The sequence below is a fragment of the Homo sapiens genome, chromosome 12 (genome assembly GCF_000001405.40).
Source record: "Homo sapiens chromosome 12, GRCh38.p14 Primary Assembly".
NCBI lineage: Eukaryota > Metazoa > Chordata > Mammalia > Primates > Hominidae > Homo > Homo sapiens.
Genome location: NC_000012.12, coordinates 49282019 through 49300190, shown reverse-complemented (window position 1 = coordinate 49300190; position 18172 = coordinate 49282019). Strand labels below are relative to the sequence as shown.

The 18172-nt window shown below is 53.3% G+C and overlaps 1 protein-coding gene and 1 long non-coding RNA gene across 2 annotated transcripts in view, besides 8 other annotated features; one reads left to right on the top strand and one right to left on the bottom strand.

Annotated features, from left to right (window-relative positions):
- Nucleotides 1–7560, top strand: part of TROAP-AS1 (TROAP and PRPH antisense RNA 1) — a 31946-nt gene extending 24386 nt beyond the window's left edge. Inside the window, exons 5-8 of the long non-coding RNA NR_120449.1 lie at nt 2485–3475; nt 3607–4931; nt 5656–5743; nt 6295–7560. This is a non-coding gene — a long non-coding RNA (TROAP and PRPH antisense RNA 1). The remainder of the gene's footprint in view (nt 1–2484; nt 3476–3606; nt 4932–5655; nt 5744–6294) is intronic.
- Nucleotides 1505–5044, bottom strand: PRPH (peripherin). The gene is made up of 9 exons (NM_006262.4): nt 4446–5044; nt 3953–4013; nt 3664–3759; nt 3135–3302; nt 2918–3043; nt 2614–2834; nt 2465–2514; nt 2154–2233; nt 1505–1903 (listed from the first exon to the last, which is right to left on the bottom strand). The coding sequence occupies exons 1-9, from the start codon at nt 4988–4990 to the stop codon at nt 1838–1840; spliced, it is 1413 nt and encodes a 470-aa protein (NP_006253.2). The 5' UTR covers nt 4991–5044; the 3' UTR covers nt 1505–1837.
- Nucleotides 2491–2785: a silencer, noted in NCBI's record as "tiled region #11953; HepG2 Repressive DNase unmatched - State 4:PromP". NCBI's record gives its function as "represses a minimal TATA promoter and a strong SV40 promoter by Sharpr-MPRA in HepG2 cells {active_cell/tissue: HepG2}" and the evidence as "EXISTENCE:reporter gene assay evidence [ECO:0000049][PMID:27701403]".
- Nucleotides 2491–3139: a biological region, named in NCBI's record as "Sharpr-MPRA regulatory region 11953".
- Nucleotides 2595–3139: an enhancer, noted in NCBI's record as "H3K27ac-H3K4me1 hESC enhancer chr12:49690835-49691379 (GRCh37/hg19 assembly coordinates)". NCBI's record gives its function as "activates a minimal SCP1, AML or CMV promoter by ChIP-STARR-seq in naive H9 embryonic stem cells {active_cell/tissue: H9 hESC(naive)}" and the evidence as "EXISTENCE:reporter gene assay evidence [ECO:0000049][PMID:30033119]".
- Nucleotides 2686–2855: an enhancer, noted in NCBI's record as "active region_6311". NCBI's record gives its function as "activates an Ori minimal core promoter by ATAC-STARR-seq in GM12878 lymphoblastoid cells {active_cell/tissue: GM12878}" and the evidence as "EXISTENCE:reporter gene assay evidence [ECO:0000049][PMID:35858748]".
- Nucleotides 4112–5028: an enhancer, noted in NCBI's record as "H3K27ac-H3K4me1 hESC enhancer chr12:49688946-49689862 (GRCh37/hg19 assembly coordinates)". NCBI's record gives its function as "activates a minimal SCP1, AML or CMV promoter by ChIP-STARR-seq in primed H9 embryonic stem cells {active_cell/tissue: H9 hESC(primed)}" and the evidence as "EXISTENCE:reporter gene assay evidence [ECO:0000049][PMID:30033119]".
- Nucleotides 5029–5946: an enhancer, noted in NCBI's record as "H3K27ac-H3K4me1 hESC enhancer chr12:49688028-49688945 (GRCh37/hg19 assembly coordinates)". NCBI's record gives its function as "activates a minimal SCP1, AML or CMV promoter by ChIP-STARR-seq in primed H9 embryonic stem cells {active_cell/tissue: H9 hESC(primed)}" and the evidence as "EXISTENCE:reporter gene assay evidence [ECO:0000049][PMID:30033119]".
- Nucleotides 6026–6788: an enhancer, noted in NCBI's record as "H3K4me1 hESC enhancer chr12:49687186-49687948 (GRCh37/hg19 assembly coordinates)". NCBI's record gives its function as "activates a minimal SCP1, AML or CMV promoter by ChIP-STARR-seq in naive H9 embryonic stem cells {active_cell/tissue: H9 hESC(naive)}" and the evidence as "EXISTENCE:reporter gene assay evidence [ECO:0000049][PMID:30033119]".
- Nucleotides 6789–7552: an enhancer, noted in NCBI's record as "H3K4me1 hESC enhancer chr12:49686422-49687185 (GRCh37/hg19 assembly coordinates)". NCBI's record gives its function as "activates a minimal SCP1, AML or CMV promoter by ChIP-STARR-seq in naive H9 embryonic stem cells {active_cell/tissue: H9 hESC(naive)}" and the evidence as "EXISTENCE:reporter gene assay evidence [ECO:0000049][PMID:30033119]".

Genomic DNA, 18172 nt, shown 5'->3' with positions numbered 1-18172 from the left:
GCTTGAACCCGGGAGATGGAGTTTGCAGTGAGTGGAGACTGAGCCACTGCACTCCAGCCTGGGCAACAAGAGCAAAACTCCATCTCAATAAATAAATAAATAAATAAATAAATAAATAAATGTGTGTGTGTATATATATATATATTTTTTTTTTGAGATGGAGTCTCGCTCTGTTGCCCAGGCTGGAGTGCAGTGGCACGGTCTCGGCTTGCTGCAACCTCTGCCTCCTGGGTTCAAGTGATTCTTCTGCCTCAGCCTCCCAAGTAGCTGAGACTACAGGCGCGTGCCACTACGCCTGGCTATTTTTTTTTTTTTTTTGAGACGGAGTCTCGCTCTGTTGCCCAGGCTGGAGTACAGTGGTATGATCTCAGCTCATTGCAAGCTCCGCCTCCTGGGTTCACACCATTCTTCTGCCTCAGCCTCCGGAGTAGCTGGGACTACAGGTGCCCGCCACCATGCCTGGCTAATTTTTTGTATTTTTTTTTAGTAGAAACGGGGTTTCACCATGTTAGCCAGGATGGTCTCGATCTCCTGACCTCGTGATCCGCCCGCCTTGGCCTCCCAAAGTGCTGGGATTACAGGCATGAGCCACCGTGCCTGGCCACCGGGCTTCTTCTTCTTCTTCTTCTTCTTCTTCTTCTTCTTCTTATTATTATTATTTGAGACAGAGTTTCGCTCTGTTGCCCAGGCTGGAGTGCAGTGGTGCGATCTCGGCTCACTACAACCTCCGCCTCCCAGGTTCAAGCGATTCTCCTGCCTCAGCCTCCCAAGTGGCTGGGATTACAGGCACCCGCCATCACACCCAGCTAATTTTTTTATTTTTAGTAGAGACAGGGTTTCACCATGTTGGCCAGGCTCTTCTTGAACTCCTGACCTCAAGTGATCCACCCGCCTTGGCCTCCCAAAGTGCTGGGATTACAGGTGTGAGCCACCACGCCCGGCCATTTTTTTGTAGTTTTAGTAGAGACAAGGTTTCACCATGTTAGCCAGGATGGTCTTGATCTCCTGACCTCATGATCCACCTGCCTCGGCCTCTCAAAGTGCTGGGATTACAGGCGTGAGCCACCGCGCCCAGCCTATTAAAATTTTTTAAATAACAAAAGAAGTAGACTTCACAGAATTTGGGGTCAGGTGAAGAAAAGAAGGGTGCATAAGCTGAGGTGAATTCTAACTTGGGCACTAGGTGTCTTAGTGGTGCCTTCTTCTGGGGCAAGGAATCCAGAGGAAGAGCATGATTGCAGAGGGAGGTGAGGAGCTCTGTTTGGGACAGGTTGAGTTTGAGTGGCCTGTGAGGCACCCAGCAGGTGGCTGGGCATTCCAGGCTGCAGGTGAGGGACAAAAGCTGAAAAGGAATGGACAGAGGTAGAAAACCTAGAAGGGTATATTGATGCCAAGAGAGTGACAGCCAGAAAAGAAATGACTCGAGACAAAGGGAGAACACCGCCGAGGCTCCTCCCCTCAGGTACCGCACACACACTTCCACAGAAACAAATGCACTGGAGAGTTTTCTCTTGACAGCATTTTATTTGGTTCAAATGTGAAACTCAGACCCTGGCTCACCCACTTCTCATCGTGGCTGGAGTAGATTTGTCCTGAGGGGGGATCATTGGCTTCTTATCGGGACATGAAAAGGGAAGCACATAGGTCACATCAAGTGTCAGGGCAGGGAGAGGCCCAGCGACTGCTGGCCGGGTAGGGCTTGGCCATAAGCCAGGAAAGGGATGCCTGGTACCACCTTTTAGACACATGCAGAGGGAGAGGAGACAATTCAGGAGTGGTCTTAGGGTTTGGGCTTTGAGCAGGCCTAGGGCAGAGTCAAGGCTCCGGACCAAGGGGTTCAGTAACTGTGGGCAGAAGACTTGTCCAGCTCACTGCGCTGCTCCTTCTGGGACTCTGTCACCACCTGCTGGGGACAGGGCATATGATGGGCACAAGCCATTCAGCGCCACCCTCCATCCTACTCCTTTGGATCATAGAGCCCCACTCCCTGGGGTAACCAGCAGAGGCTCCTGGTTATCTATCCACGTTCTCTGTCTCCTTCTCTGTCTCTCCCCAAGAATTACCCACCCTAAGTAAGATTAGCGACAGCCAGGCTGGGGCTCAGAAATAATATGGGAAATGGTGGGGTCCTGGCATTAGGGGACCTGCCTCACCTCCCCATTCCGGGTCTCAATGGTCTTGATCAGAACCGTCTTCCGGCTGTGGCTGTCCTGGGGAGGCTCCACCTCAGGCACTGAAGAAAGCAGGATAAAGGGTTCAAGGGGGAAGGCGTGGGAATCTCTCCTCTTAGGCTCCCACTGCTATCCCTGAGGGCAGGGGAGGGGCGGGTTTGAGGAGTAGGGGTGGGTACAGGCCAGGACCCAGAAGTTCCGTGGGGAGAAGAGATCCCTGAGGTGAGCCAGAGCAAGAGCCCGAGGAGGGCAGAAGTGGACAAGGAGAGGTACAGGCTGTAAGCCAGACTCACCAGTCGTCTTTATATTTAAGGAGGCAAAAGAATGGACGGGCACGGAGATCCTAGAGGCGAAGCAAGTTGTCAGCGCCCCTGCCCAGGCCCCGCCCTGCCCGGCCCAGTCCCGACCCCGCCCTGCCCCGCCCCAGCAGCTCCACCCTCACCGGCTCTCCTCGCCCTCCAGCAGCTTGCGGTAGGTGGCGATCTCGATGTCCAGGGCCATCTTGACGTTGAGGAGCTCCTGGTACTCCCTCAGGTGCCGCGCCATCTCCTCTTTTAGCTGTCGCAGCTCCTCCTCGAGCCGCGCAGCGCCCGCCTGGTAGCCCCCCGCCTCCAGGGCGAACTGCTCCTCCAGCTCTCTCAACTGCCTGAGCAGCGCCTCGTTCTGGGGTAGGAGAGTGGAAGGGGCCAGTTGCAGAACATTTCATCGTCCGCTCCCCGGGCCCGAGCGCGCAGCTTCGTACTCACCGTGCCGCGCAGCCCGTCCACCTCGCACGTTAGACTCTGGATCTGGCGTCGGGACTCGTTCATCTCCTGCTTGGCCTGGCGCAGGGCCTCGTGGTTCCGGTTGGCAGCGTCGGACAGGTCCGCGTACTGAGAAGTGGGGGTAACCCAGGCTTTAGTCGGCTGGGACGCGCGACACCACCCCAGCGTCCCGCCTCGCAGGCCCTCCCGGCTCTTGCACCTTGGACTTGTACCACTCCTCCGCCTCCTGCAGGTTCTTCGCGGCGATGCTCTCGTACTGCGCGCGGATGTCCCTCAGCGCTGCCGTCAGCTCGGGCTTCACCGTGGCTTCCACCTCCACCTGCTGCACCTGCTGGCTCTCCACACTCACCTGCAGGTCTCGCAGCTCCTACGGCCGGGAGCAGGCAGAGGATGGACAGCGGCGCAAATTCCACGCGGGCCACGCAGTTCGTGCACAGAAAAGAGAAGAAACGCTTGAACGAACAGAAGTGGGCGCCAGGGAGGGCAGGGCGTACAGCCCTGCGCCCCCGCGGGCGCGAGACCAGAGGCCAGGTTTCGGAGGTACAGCCCCGCTGCCCGCCGCCAGGTGGCGCAAGGGTGGGAGTCTAACCACCTGTAGACTAGGGTGGAGGGGCTGCGTCTACCCAGCATCGTCCTGATCCCCAGGGCGATGCCTCCGCTCCACCCGCCAGCTCCAGCGAGACCACCCCACAACCTCAGAAACCGCCCCTGATACCGGGCCCACTTACCTCCTCGTGCAGCTTCTTGAGGAACTCAATCTCATCCATCAGAGACTCAATCTTGCGCTCTAGTTCCAGGCGGGACAGAGTGGCATCGTCCACGTCCTTCGAGGGGTGGCAGTGGAGGTTCAAGATAAGTTAGGGGCTGCGCAGACCAAGGAAGGACCAGGCCTTCCCTGTCTGCCTCAGGAGGCATCTGGGTTACCCCCTTCTCCCCGCGCCCACCGATGCCACCTCTGGATACTGAGATCGGGGGTAGCGGTGGGGAGGCTGAACTCGGAGAGGGGCTCGGACTCACCTTGCGGAAGAGCACGAGGTTGTGCTCCGCGTCCTCCCGCTTGCGCGTCTCCTCCTCCAACCTGACGGGAAGAGCGTGCAGAGGCTGAACTGCGGGGTCGCCGCCCAGCTCGCACCCCAGACCGCACGCCCCCCAGGATCCGGTTAGAGGCTGTTCTGCTGCCCAGGACTCTAAATGGAGGGCTGAGGCTGTCTAATGGAATTGCCCCGCATTGTCTCTAACGGACTGGGAGCTGAAAAGGGGGTTTCCTCATTACTCAGGGGAGGCACAGATACCCACTTCTCCCACCTCCCCAAACACTCAGAGCAAAGGGGTAGCGGGGGGCACTTGGAGCCCGTGGGCAGGGATGCTGCCCGCACACACCTGGGTTGGTAAGGGGAGCCACACCCTTGGGCTGCTGATGGAGAGGGGAAGCGAGGGGAGGCAAGAGCAGCCGCCTCGACGGCCGCTTCGACCTCGCCTCGACGGCAGCGGCCCAGCCCTGCCCCCTGACCTCTGCTTGAGCGCCGCCAGGTCCTCCGCCAGCCCGTCGCGCTCCACCTGCACCCGGTCACGCTCGCGGCCCAACAGCTCCAGCTCTCGCCGCAGCTCGCGCAGCTCCTGCTGGCACAGCTGGTCGGCGCGCGCCGGCTCCTGGCCCCGGGCTTGGCTCAGCTCCCCGCGCAGGGCCGCGTTCTGCTGCTCCAGAAAGCGTACCTTCTCGATGAAGTTGGCGAAGCGGTCGTTGAGCTCCTGCAGCTCCTGCTTCTCGTTGCTGCGCGTGGCCAGGAACTCCTGGTTGAGGGCCTCGGCCATGGAGAAGTCGAGGCGCTCCGAGGGCAGGCGCAGGAGGGCGCCCGCTCCCGCTCGGGGGCTACGGAAGCTGCCCAGGCGCACCGAGGAGCTCGGGGACGCGGAGCCCAGCAGGCGGCTGCTGGAGAAGCGGGAGCTGGACGAGTAGGAGAAGGCCCCGGGGGATAGTGAGGGCGGTGGACCGAAGGTACGGCGGTATGAGGTGGAGCTGAAGCCGGCCCGGAGGCCCGACGGGTGGTGGCTCATTGCGGCCAAGGATGGGCAGTCACCGTTCGCAGAGCTAGGCCGGGGGCTGGGAAGGAGCCGCAGACCGCTGCGAGGCGGCTTTATAGCCCTGCGGTCTCAGGGGGGGCACGGGCAGCTCCTCCCACTGGCCTGATGGCCCGCTGGAGGGGGGTTGTATGGGGAGGGGGATGCCCCACCCCTGCGGAACAGCAGGAGCGCCTTCCCCTCCCTTCCCTGGTTGCAGGCCTCTACCCACTTGATTGCCCCCTGTTGCCGCTGGGGTGGGGGTCACTTCCTCCCAACAAGCACCCAAAGCTAGAACCTAGGGTAGGAAGGCCTGACTTGAACTAGAGTCCCTGAAAATTGCGAGGTAGAAGGACCTGAAGTTAAAGGGCAGGCTTCTGGCACAGGAGTAGGGAGGAGGCCAGCTGGAGGGAGAGTTGACCTGGCTTAGGCCCCATAGCTAGTGCCTTGACTTGCCCCCTGAAGGCCAGGCTCTATTTTCACCTGCTGTCAGCTACCCCTCCTTCACCACACCCAGAGAGGAATAGGAGACAGGGGCGCAGAGGCAGATCGGGCTGGGGAAGAGCTACTCTCCCTAATCCCCAGGGCCCTGTGAAGGGCTGGTGCCTGGCGCCAGCTCTGCTGCTAATGGGCTGACCAGCCCCCCTCCCCCTCCCCTGAAGACGGCCCAGCAGAGGTTGTCTGCTGATGTTTCAGCCTTAAAGACACAGCCCCCAAACCTAGACCTACCCCGCAACAAGCCCCAATGAGGTGGGTACATCATAGGGGGCTGAGGGTGGCTGGACCCAGCTCTGGATCCCACTCGGGAGGGTCTGCCCCATGCCACGGGCTGGGCTAAGTGGGCCTTTTGTATTCTGTCTTGGTTTACTGGATTCTCCCTCCCCCCAACCCCACACCAATTGCTGCTCAGTCATGGGCTTTACAGGAACCAGAGTGATTCCTGAGGTAGGAAGGGGAGGGGGCTGAGGGGCAACAGCGGCTGCCAAGGCTGAGAGATGGATGGACTGGCAGGAGCTGGTTTCCAGTATTGATGAGTTGCAGGTACCAGGGATGGGTGGGGCTGGATGGGGAAGAGATGGGGAAAGAGAAAGTGCCCATCCCCAGCAGTCTGAAAGAGAGAAGGCCCCAGAACAGGTCCACAAACCTGCGCACGCAAACAGATGCATACACACAGCTTTGTATATCTATGCGCACACACACTACATACACACACATACACACACAATCACACATCCCACCACACCCTCCCCTACTCCAGAGTTAGCGAGAAGGCTGATATCTGGCCTTTGTATGTCAAACAGCTTCCAGAATGCAAGCACAACCTGCCCAGGAGTGGACAGAGGCAGCTCGGATGGTCTGCAGGAGCCGGGTTGCTGAGGTCTGCTGGGTTTGCCAGGAACCATAGGGCTGGGGCTGCTGCTGCTGCTGGGGACTCCAGCGCTGTCCTGTGAGACAGGTCTGCCTCAGATGGGACCTGAGGACAAGAGAGTGCATCTGGGGAAGCAGGTTTCAGGTTCCTGCCTGGATATCTGGCTGGGGGTAAGGAGGGCGGCTCCCTGGCTGGCCAGCTCCTCAGTATTGCAGGGCAGCAGCCCCCTCCCCCCTTTGTGCGTCCTGTGAGATGGGCCAGGGCCAACGCCCTGCTCACGTCCCTACCGCCTTCGTCTCCTTTCCAGGCCCCTCCTTCCTTCCGGGCCATTAGTCTCTCCCTGCACAGCTGCCAGTTCCTTCTCCTTGATGGGTCTGGTTTGGTTGCCAGGGGAGTGGGAAGCGGGAGGAAGGGAGAGATGGGACAGGACGAATAAATGACAGCTTGGCCTCCCCTAACTCCTGGGAATTGGGAGGGGTAGGGTCCCACCCGGGATAGGGCCGGGAGGCTTGGTGGGTGTGAGGAGGGGCTAGGGAAGCCTTGGTGCTTCCTGCCGCAGTCCTGGGCACTGAGCCCCAGCTGCTGTTGGCCTGGAGCCCCATCTATCCCGGATTTGGCCCCACCCTCCAGGAGCAGGGAGCCAGCTCTGCATCAGGAGAGGCGGGCAAGGCCTGGGGAGGACCAGCTCAGGCCCTGTCTACAGGGCACTAGTGGGGGACCCAAGCCTCTGAGAGTAGAGGCTGCTGGGGCTGCAGCTGGGCCTGGGGAGTTCCAGATGGAGTTCCCGTCCTCACCCTGCTTAAGGGCTCCGCTGGCCACCTACATGCCTCGGAGGAGAAGGGACAGAGGGCTGCCACAGCAGGGCTCTGGAGCTGTGGATCAGGCCTGGGTGGGGAACTGCCAGGCAGAAGAGGCTCCTCCCCTAAAGCAGAAGGAGCAGGCCAGCAACTCCAGGCGGAGCAAAGGTAGGCAAAGAGTCTGGGTTAAGAGCCGGGCTCTGGCATCCAGCTGCCACACTTCCCATCTGATCCACCACTCTGTTGTAGAATTTAGGCTCGTCACTACGTCCCTTCATGTCCCTCAAGAAAAGGGAGATAACTAACTGTAGCTTCTACCTCATAGTGTTGTTGGGAGGACTAAAGGAATAAATAAATACATGTGAAGTGCTTAGGACACACATCTTAAAGCCTGAAAATGGAAGCTGGTTTTATTATTGCTATTATTATTAACCTCCAGAGTGATAATGTCAGCCCCAAGAGCAGTGAGAGTCTGGGCTTCTTTTGGACTGTGCCCCTGGTTGCTGAAAGTAGTGCTTGGACCCAAGGCGGAAGAAGCCAAGTCCTCCCTGGCCTCATCCTCCCCTGGTGGACCGGGACTCTGGGCAGATGGTGCAGGTTCATTCATGGCTGCTCACCTTAATTAGCTGTGTGCTTTGGGTTTTCTGAGTGACTTAACCTCTGTTCACCCCATTTTCTTTCTTTCTTTCTTTCTCTCTTTCTTTCTTTTTTCTTCCTTTTTTTTTTTTTGAGACATAGTCTCGCTCTGTCGCCCAGGCTGGAGTGCAGTGGCACGATCTCAGCTCACTGCAAGCTCCGCCTCCCGGGTTCACGCCATTCTCCTGCCTCAGCCTCCTGAGTAGCTGGGATGACTGGCGCCTGCTACCACGCCCGGCTAATTTTTTCATATTTTTGGTAGAGACGGTGCTTCACCATGTTAGCTAGGATGGTCTCGATCTCCTGACCGTGATCCACCTGTCTCGGCCTCCCAAAGTGCTGGGATTACAGGCATAAGCCACCGCGCCTGGCCACCCCATTTTCTTTATCCACAAATGGGAATGATAATAACAGTACTTACCTCATGGTGTTGGGAGGATTAAACGAGTTACCCTCTGTAAAGCACTTGTGCTTGGCACCTAGTACATGCTGTAGAAGTATTTGCCAGTATTCTCATCGCTCCTCCTCCTCCTGCCTCCCTTGGCTGCTCTGATGAAGGCTGGAAGAGAAACAACTATTGCATGTGTTCAGGGGTTTGCAGGGAAGGTGAGTAACGAAGTTTAGGTTACTGGCAAGAGTGCTATTTTTAAATTAAATTAAATTAAATTTTTTTTGAGAGAGAGTCTTGCTCTGTTGCCCAGGCTGGAGTGCAGTGGCATGATCTCAGCTCACTGCAACCTCCACCTCCTGGGATCAAGCGATTCTCCTGCCTCAGCCTCCCGAGTAGCTGGGATTACAGGTACCTGCCACCATGCCTGGCTAATTTTTGTACTTTAGTAGAGACGGGGTTTCATTATGTAGGTCAAGCTGGTCTCGAACTCCTGATCTCAAATGGTCCGCCTGCCTCGGCCTCCCAAAGAGCTGGGATTACAGGCGTGAGCCACCACGCCTGGCCAAGAGTGCTATTAAATGTCAGGCCACGGGCTCAAAGCTGGATTAGGAGGGCATGTAGGCAAGAGAGAGTGGGAGATTGGGAGAGTAAAGAGATCCATGGCTGGCCAAAGAACAGTCATAGAACAAAGACATGCCAGTGGAGCACAGTGGTTTACGCCTGTAATCCCAGCACTTTGGGAGGCTGAGGCGGGCGGATCACAAGGTCAGGAGATCAAGACCATCCTGGCTAACATGGTGAAACCCTGTCTCTACTAAAAATACAAAAAATTAGCCGGGCGTGGTGGCGGGCACCTGTAGTCCCAGCTACTGGAGAGGCTGAGGCAGGAGAATGGTGTGAACCCAGGAGGTGGAGCTTGCAGTGAGCGGAGATCGCGCCACTGCACTCCAGCCTGGGTGACAGAGCGAGACTCCATCTCAAAAAACAAACAAACAAATTAGCCGGGCGTGGTAGCATACGCCGGTAATCCCAGCTACTTGGGAGGCTGAGGAAGGAGAATCTATTGAACCCGGGAGGCAGAGGTTGCAGTGAGCCAAGATCGCGCCACTTCACTCCAGCCTGGGCGACAGAGTGAGACTCTGTCTCAAAAAAAAAAAAAAAAAAAAAAAAAAAAGACATGCTAAGCTCCTCCCAGCCTTACCCTCTGCTTCAGCACATCCCTAATACTTGCATCTGTCAGCTGGGGTCTCTGCCTCTCCGGGTCTAGGATTGACACAAACCTCCACTCCAGGCCAGGCGAAGTGGCTCGCACCTGTAATCCCAGCACTTTGGGAGGCCAAAGCAGGCAGATCGCTTGATCCTAGAAGTTCAAGACCAGTCCTGGGCAACATGGAGAAACCCCATCTCTACAAAACACACAAAAATTAGCCAGGCATGGTGGCATACACCTGTAGTCCCAGCTACTTGGAAGGCTGAGGTGGGAGGCTCACCTGAGCCCAGGAGGTCAAGGCTGCTGTGAACTGTGACTACACCACTGTACTCCAGCCCCAGTGACTGAGATCCTATCTCAAAATAAATAAATAAATAACCAGCCAGGCGCTGTGGCTCACGCCTGTAATCCCAGCACGTTGGGAGGCCGAGGCGGGCAGATCATGAGGTCAGATCGAGACCATCCTGGCTAACACGGTGAAACCCCGTCTCTACTAAAAATACAAAAAAGTAAACCGGCATGGTGGCGAGCGCCTGTAGTCCCAGCTACTCAGGAGGCTGAGGCAGGAGAATGGCGTGAACCCGGGAGGCGGAGCTTGCAGTGAGCCGAGATTGCGCCACTGCACTCCAGCCTGGACGACAGAGCAAGACTCCGTCTCAAAAATAAAAATTAAAAAATTTAACAAAACAAAATAAAAATTAAAAAACTAAACCTCCACTCCACATCCTAGGTGAAGTCCAGGGTCCTCTCCAGGATTCCTTTGTCTTCCCAGCTTTATTTTATTTTTATGTATTTATTTATTTTATTATTATTATTATTAATTATTATTATTATTGTTACTACTATTATTTTTTGAGACGGAGTCTCGCTTTGTCACCGGGCTGCAGTACAGTGGTGCGATCTTGCCTCACTGCAAACTTCGCCTCCGGGGTTCAAGCGATTCTCCTGCCTCAGCCTCCCAAGTAGCTGGGACTACATCCTGGGCACGCCACCACACCCAGCTAATTTTTGTATTTTTAGTAGAGATGGGTTTCACCATGTTGGCCAGGATGGTCTCCATCTCTTGGCCTCGTGATCTGTCCGCCTTGGCCTCCCAAAGTGCTGGGATTACAGGCATGAACCACAGCCCCCGGCCTATTTTATTTTTATTTTTTGAGAAGGATCTCACTCTGTCACCCAGGTTGGAATGCAGTGGTGCAGTCTCAGCTCACTACAACTTCCGCCTCCCAGGCTCAAACGATCCTCCTGCCTCAGTCCTTGAGTAGCTGGGGTTGCAGGAGCGCACCACCACGCCTGGCTAATTTTTTTCTACTTTTGGTAGAGAGGGGGTTTCACCATGTTGCCCAGGCTGATCTCAGACTACTGAGCTCAGGCAATCCACCCACCTCGGCCTCCCAAAGTGCTGGGATTACAATCGTGAGCCACCATGCCTGGCCCCCCAGCTTTATTTTTGAGTCCCTAGCTCCAAGTCCTCGCTGCTCCTGAATTGCCTGACTTTATAGTTGCTCTTGCGATGTCCCAGATGTGGAACTCAGCACTGTTCCTTGGTCCCTGTGGTCCTATTTCCCCATCACTTAGGTAAGACCTGAGGCTCAGAGGGACCAAGTTGCATGTCTGAGCTTGTACAGTGAGCTAGTGGTGGTTTCCTCTGGAAGGGCGCGTCCTGGTTGATCAGGCCCTGAGTGGCCCTGCTGGTGTTCTTCACTCTATGCCTGCAGGACCCAAGGTGAGCCTCAGCCGGAAGGGATCCAGCACCACACTTTTGAAGGTAGACTCTCCCAGCCCAGTTTGGCTGCAGGGTCCCCACTGACAGAGTGGCTTTACCAGAGTGGAACTCTTTCCCATTATCTCCACCTGGGGCTCCACTGCTTCCAGTTAGGGAGCACTGTGGGCATCCCTGCCAGCTCATCCCTTCTCTCACTGTATCACATAGTGATACAGTGCTAGGTCTAACACATTTATTTAATCACTCCTAATCCTCACAGTAACCCTATGACATAGGTACTATTACTATTCCCACTTCATAGTTGAAGAAACTGAGGCACAGCGAGGTTAAGTAACTTTCCTAAGGTCACACAGCTAGTAACTGGTAATCTGTTTATATGTCTGCCTCTGACTTTCCGCTCCCTGACAATATGATCTTTGAGGGCAACGATAAGATCGTACTGATCTTTTTGTCCGTGGTGTCTGCGGCGGGACCTAGGTCAATTGAATGCGTGTGAGGCACCCAAAAAATCTCTTTGTTGGTGGCCCCTAAAATAAAGCGAGGTATGTTGCTGCCACCTTCTGGTCAGAAGTCAGAATGACGTGCTGACGTGTTCAGTCTGCATCTATGTTGAGTTCAAGACTCAAGGATCCTGGAACACTGGAATTTGGGGAATACTTCAAAACTTATTGTGATTTCTTTTTTTGTTTGTTTGTTTGTTTACAGATGACATTTATCCAAGGGAGTGTAAAATAGAGTCAGAGAAGCACTGGTATGAGGAGTTTGGAGCCCTCATTCCATTCATTCCCTGAGTTCTAGGAGCCTCCTCTGTTCCTCCAGAAGCCAAAAGACAGGGCAGGAAGACAAAATCTTTCCGCAACTCCTCACCATTCTCTGTTGTGCCCACAATCTCCGGTTCCACCCTCACTGTAAAATCACGTCTCCATCCGCCTGCTTGATCTTTCAGCCAGCCGCTCCTCAGCTGGAGAATGGGAAATAATGGGCTGTGCCAGCAAGCCACACTCCAAGGGCAGAGTGCTCAGTGAACCTGTTCAAAGTGTGGCCTGGGCAGCTGCCTGAGGGTCACCCGGGCCATGAAAAGGCAGGCCCCTGGGTCCTACCCACATCTTCTGAATCTTTAGAAGGGCATTGACAAATGCTCTACTGATTTTTAAGTATTCCTGGATTAAGATATTTTTTCTTTAAATTGTCCATCTTTTACTCTATTTTATCTTGAAAAAAATCAAACCCAGGACAAAGTTGAAAGAATGCTGCTATGAACACCAATATATCCTTCCCTTGGATTTACCAGTTGTCAATGTTTTGCCACAATTCCTCTGGAAGTGTTAGACATCATTATATTTAATCTCTGAATACATTAGCATGTAACTCCAAAGAACAAGGACATTTTCCTACATAACCACAGTAGGATTAGCCCACTGAAGACATTTAACATCGATTTGCCTTTATTTGTGTAAAAAAATTTTGTAACTAACAAAAAAGAAATTTAACACTGATATAACAGTATTATCTAATACACAGCCCATATTCAAATTCCCTCAATTGCCCCAATAACATTCTTTATAGCTATTTCCATGCAATCTAGGACTTGAAAATCATGAATTGTATTCAGTCATCACCCGAGCAGAAGGGTAAGGCTGGGGATGAGCTTGGCATGTTTGAAGAATTGCAGAAAGTTCAGTGAGGCTGGCGCGAGGCAGATGAGGGAAGAGAGCGGGAAAGGTGAGGTTAGAGGCATGGCAAGGAGTCAAAGATCACGAGGCTTTTAAAATCAGAGTAAAGAGTTTATTTTAAATGCAATGAAAAGCCATTAGAGGGTTTGAAGCAGGGAATGACTTAATCTGATTTATAATTTTTGTTTTGTTTTGTTTTGTTTTTGAAATGGAGTCTCGCTCTGTCGCCAGGCTGGAGTGCAGTCGTGCGATCTTGGCTCACTGCAACCTCTGCCTCCCAGGTTCAGGTGATTCTCCTGCCTCAGCCTCCCGAGTAGCTGGGACTACAGGAGCGTGCCACCACACACAGCTAATTTTTTTGTATTTTTAGTAGAGGTGGGGTTTCACCATGTTGGCCAGAATGGGCTCGATCTCCTGACCTAGTGATCTGCCCGCCTCGGCCTCCCAAAGTGCTGGAATTACAGGCATGAGCCACCTTGCTCCGCCCTGATTTAGGATTTTAAAAGGTCAATCTGAAGACAATTTCAGAGTTGGGACATTCTATAAGACAACTAGTCCTAGACTCTTTAAAAAGTTAAGGTCAAGGCCAGGCACGGTGTCTCACACCTGTAATCCCAGCACTTTAGGAGGCCTAGGTGGGCGGATCACCTGAGGTCGGGAGTTGGAGACCAGCCTGATCAACATGGCGAAACCCTGTCTCTACTAAAAATACAAGAAAAAAAAAGTTAATGCCAAAATAATAATAATAATAATAATAATAATAAGTTTATATCATTTTTTGTTGGTGTTTTTTGGAGCTTTCATAACAAATTACCACAAACTTGGTGGCTTAGAACAACAAAAATGTATTCTCTCACAGTTCTGAAGTCCAGAAGTCCAAAATCAAGGTGTTGGTGGGGCTGTAGTCCCGAAGGCTGGAGCAGAGAGGAACCCTTCCTTGCCTCTTCCAGCTTGTGGTGCTCCAGGCATTCCTTGGCTTGTGACCACATCCCTCCAGTCTCTCCCTCTGTCTTCGCATGGCCGTCTCCTCCTTTGTGTCCATGTCTCCTCTTCCTCTTACAAAGACCCTCATCTTTGGATTTGGGGCCCACCCAAGTAATCCAGGATGATCTCACCTTAAGATCATTGTTTACCCCTGTAAAGACGCTTTTCCCAAATAAGGTCACATTAACATGTCCTAGGACATAGACATATGTTTTGGGAAGCCACCATTCAGTCCACTACAGTGGGAGATCATTTTGACAACAAGAGACTAAGAGATGAAACAATCAAATGTATGTACAAAGCTAGATTGGACCCTAAATTTTTTTTAAAGAGGTTATTGGAGAATTTGGGGTATTATATGCTATGAAATGATTATTCTTCTTTTAGGTGTGAAGATCGGAGTGTGGTTGTGTAATGGAATGTCTGCCTGCTAAAGTATTTAGGAGTGGAGTGTCATGATATCCTCAACCTTCTTTCTAGTGGGTTAGCAAAGAAAAGGTATATGTTCTAGAGAAAGAAAGAAATGGCAATTTTTAAAAATTTTTTCTTCTATTAATTTTTTTCCTTTTTTAAAAAAATAGTTTGTCTTCATCTTACTTGTTATTTTTTCTATTTATTTATTTATTTAAAATATTTATTTATTTAAAATAGATACTGGGTCTCACTGTGTTGCCCAGGCTGGTCTCAAACCCCTGGGCTCAAACAGTCCTCCTGCCTCAGCCTCCCAAAGCGCTGGGATTACAGGCATTAACCACTGTGCCCGGCTGAAATATGGCAAATATCAGCTGGGCACAGTGGCTCACGCCTGTAATCCCAGCACTTTGGGAGGCCAAGGTGGGCAGATCACCTGAGGTCAAGAGTTTGAGACCAGCCTGGCCAACATGGGGAAACCCCGTCTCTACTAAAAATGCAAAAATTAGCTGGGTGTGGTGGCAGGTGCCTGTAGTTCCAGCTACTTGGGAGGCTAAGGCAGGAGACTCGCTTGAACCCAGGAGGCGGAGGTTGCAGCGAGCTGACATTACGTCACTGCACTCTGGCCTGGGTGACAAGACCGAAACTCCATTAAAAAAAAAAAAGGCAAATATTAGTGACTGCCTAATCTAGGTGGAGGGTGTATGAATATTTATCAGACTATTATTTTTTTCTTTTCTTTTTCTTTTTCTTTTTTTTTTTTTTGAGACAGGGTCTCACTCTGTCACCCAGGCTGGAGTGCGGTGGTGTAGTCTCAGCCCACTGCAACCTCCGTCTCCCATGCTGAAGCTATCCTCCCGCCTCAGCCTTCCTAGTAGCTGGGACTACAGTTGCATGCCACCATCCCCAGCTAATTTTTGCATTTTTTGTAGAGATGGGGTTGCACCATGTTGCCCAAGCTGGTCTCGAACTCCTGGGCTCAGGCAATCTGCCTGGAATGGCAGGGGCTTGAATGGCTGAACTCCAGGGGGTGTGATGAAGGACAAGTTATTGGGAGTGAGGCCAGCAGGACTAGGGAGAAAGAGGTTTTTGAGGAAGGTGTGAGAACCCTAGTAGGGTTTATAGAAGGTGGGAAAGCTGGGCAGAGGTGTTTACACTTGAGATGTCTCATGTTGCAAGGAAAGTGCAGCTAACCAAAAACCAGGAAGGATATGGTCCCAGGTCTGGGCCAGTCACTGGGCCTTGCTTTCCTCACTGGTAAAATATGATCGCGCCACTGCTCTCCAGCCTGGGCGACAGAGTGAGACTCTGTCTTAAAAGTAAAAATAAAATGAAATAGGCATTTATTAAAGAGAGGGGTGGGTCTCAGACCACTGCCCCCAGTAGTTCTTTTTGTTTTTTGTTGTTATTGTTGTTTTGCTTTTTTTAACTGCCCCCTGTGGAGCAAGGCTACCCCGTAGGCAGTGTGCCCAGAGTAGCCTTTGTTTGTGTTTTTAATTTATTTTTTATTTTGTAACTGCTCTTTGTGGAGCGGGGAAGGAGTCCTAAGCTCTTCCTTCTCAGGGGGATGCTCCAAGATCCTCTGGGTGGGAATGAACAGTAATCCCTTTACTGAGGAAGGAAAGGGCAGGGGGAAATGGGGACAACTCATCTCAGGACCGTGCTGGAGGTGGAACATGCCTGCAATCTTCTCCTCAGGTGAAGGGAGGATTTTTAGAGTAGATCACAGTCGGGGTGTCCAAGGAGGGCAGCGATCCTCCTCACCGCCGCCAACTCTCAGTTCTGGGACTGTCCAAGAGGAGGCGCAGCCCTGATGCGGGCCCATCTGTTATTCCCCTCCCTCCTCCACACAACCTCTGAGCTCCTCAGCCTGGAACCCTGGAAGATGATGAGAAGGAGGAAAACTGGGATCACCAGGCACAGCCCCTCACCCCCAACCCCCTGTTTCTTGCTGAAGATGCTGAGAGGGGAGCAGTACTTGCAATTCTGTGAGCCGGGGAGAGATCTCACCCTGGCACATGGTTATGCTCTTTTCCCCAGGCAGTGGCTGGAGCACATGTGTGTGCCTGACATGCGACAGGGCAGGGGCCCGTGCCCATCAGGCCAGTCGTCGGAGGCTCTTCTTCAGTCATGACACTCTGCCATCCGTCTCACCCTACCTCTTGCAGGGAGAGGTTGGGTGACAGCTGAACAGAAAAATTCACAGGGTCTGAAGCCCTACAAACTGCCCCGCCTGCCCTCTGCTTGCAGGCTATGTGGGTGTTGGTTTGACAGCTGCCGCCAGGACTGAGCTTCTGGAGCCAGTGGCTGTCACACCCACAGTGACCTGATGGGCAATCTCTTGGCCAGCCAGCCGCCCCGTCCGGGAGGGAGGTGGGGGGGTCAGCCCCCCGCCGGGCCAGCCGCCCCATCCGGGAGGTGAGGGGCGCCTCTGCCCGGCCGCCCCTACTGGGAAGTGAGGAGCCCCTCTGCCCGGCCACCACCCCGTCTGGGAGGTGTGCCCAGCGGCTCATTGAGAACGGGCCATGATGACAGTGGCGGTTTTGTGGAATAGAAAGGGGGGAAAGGTGGGGAAAAGATTGAGAAATCGGATGGTTGCCGTGTCTGTGTAGAAAGAAGTAGACATGGGAGACTTTTCATTTTGTTCTGTACTAAGAAAAATTCTTCTGCCTTGGGATCCTGTTGATATGTGACCTTACCCCCAACCCTGTGCTCTCTGAAACATGTGCTGTGTCCACTCAGAGTTAAATGGATTAAGGGCGGTGCAAGATGTGCTTTGTTAAACAGATGCTTGAAGGCAGCATGCTCGTTAAGAGTCATCACCACTCCCTAATCTCAAGTACCCAGGGACACAAACACTGCGGAAGGCCGCAGGGTCCTCTGCCTAGGAAAACCAGAGACCTTTGTTCACTTGTTTATCTGCTGACCTTCCCTCCACTATTGTCCTATGACCCTGCCAAATCCCCCTCTGCGAGAAACACCCAAGAATGATCAATAAAAAAAAAAAAAAAAAAAGAAATTCTCTTGGCCAGTCACAGCGACTCATGCCTGTAAACCCAGCATTTTGTGAGGTCAAGGCAGGAGGATTGCCTGAGCCTGGGAGTTCAGGACAAGCCTGGGCAACATAGGAAGACCCTGTCTCTACAAAAAATTTAAAATTAGCTGGGCATGGTGGTGCAAACCTGTAGTCCCAGCTACCTGGGAGGCTGAGGTGGGAGAATTGCTTGAGCCCAGGAGGTTGAGGCTGCAGTGAGCTATGATTATGCCACCGCACTCCCGCCTGAGTGACCAAGTGAGCTCCTATCTCAGAAAACAAAAACAACAAAAGAAGAACATTCTCTCACTCTCTAGTTGGATTCTTTCTATAGTACACGGCTATCTGTGCTGGCCCCTGGCTGGAGGGGAGGGCAGTGGCAGAGGAGATGGAGACAGGAAACGGGAGAACTGAATGGGAGAGAGAGGGAAGGGGGAAATGGAGGGGGAAGAGAGGAGGGGAGAGGAGAAGGGAAATGGAGGTGAGGGGTGGTGGAAAGAGGGGAGGAGGGAGGAAGAATAGAGGAAAACAATGGGCCAGAAATGGGAACTTGGGTTTTTTCCTCTCACAGGCCCCAGAGCCTCCACACGGGGAGCAACCAGTCAGCTAACCCCATTCACATCCCAGAGCCCTCAGAGTCTGGTCTGGGTCTCATCCGCGTCACCCTGCACCACTCCTTGTCTACAAGATCCTTGGTCTGAAATAGCATGGGAGGCTCTGGAAGCTGTGGCATTGCCCTAGGGTCAGGCTCATTTTGATAGGTACCTAGGAGGGGGGCATTCCTTCAGGTTGGGGCCTTCTTGCTCTTCTCTACCCCCTCACATCAGGCCACAGGCCCCACTCATAGCTGCAAGTAAAAAGGAAGAAGATGAGGCCGAGCACGGTGGCTCATGCCTGTAATCCCAGCACTTTGAGAGGCCGAGGTGGGCGGATTGACTGAGGTTGGGA

Excerpts from the sequence above, each read along its gene's own strand:
- PRPH (NM_006262.4), bottom strand. The coding sequence starts at position 4,990 with ATGAGCCACCACCCGTCGGGCCTCCGGGCCGGCTTCAGCTCCACCTCA. Across the intron at positions 2,835-2,917 it reads TGGACGGGCTGCGCGGCACG|AACGAGGCGCTGCTCAGGCA; the intron begins GTGAGTACGAAG and ends CTCCTACCCCAG. Across the intron at positions 2,515-2,613 it reads CTGGAGGGCGAGGAGAGCCG|GATCTCCGTGCCCGTCCATT; the intron begins GTGAGGGTGGAG and ends CTTCGCCTCTAG.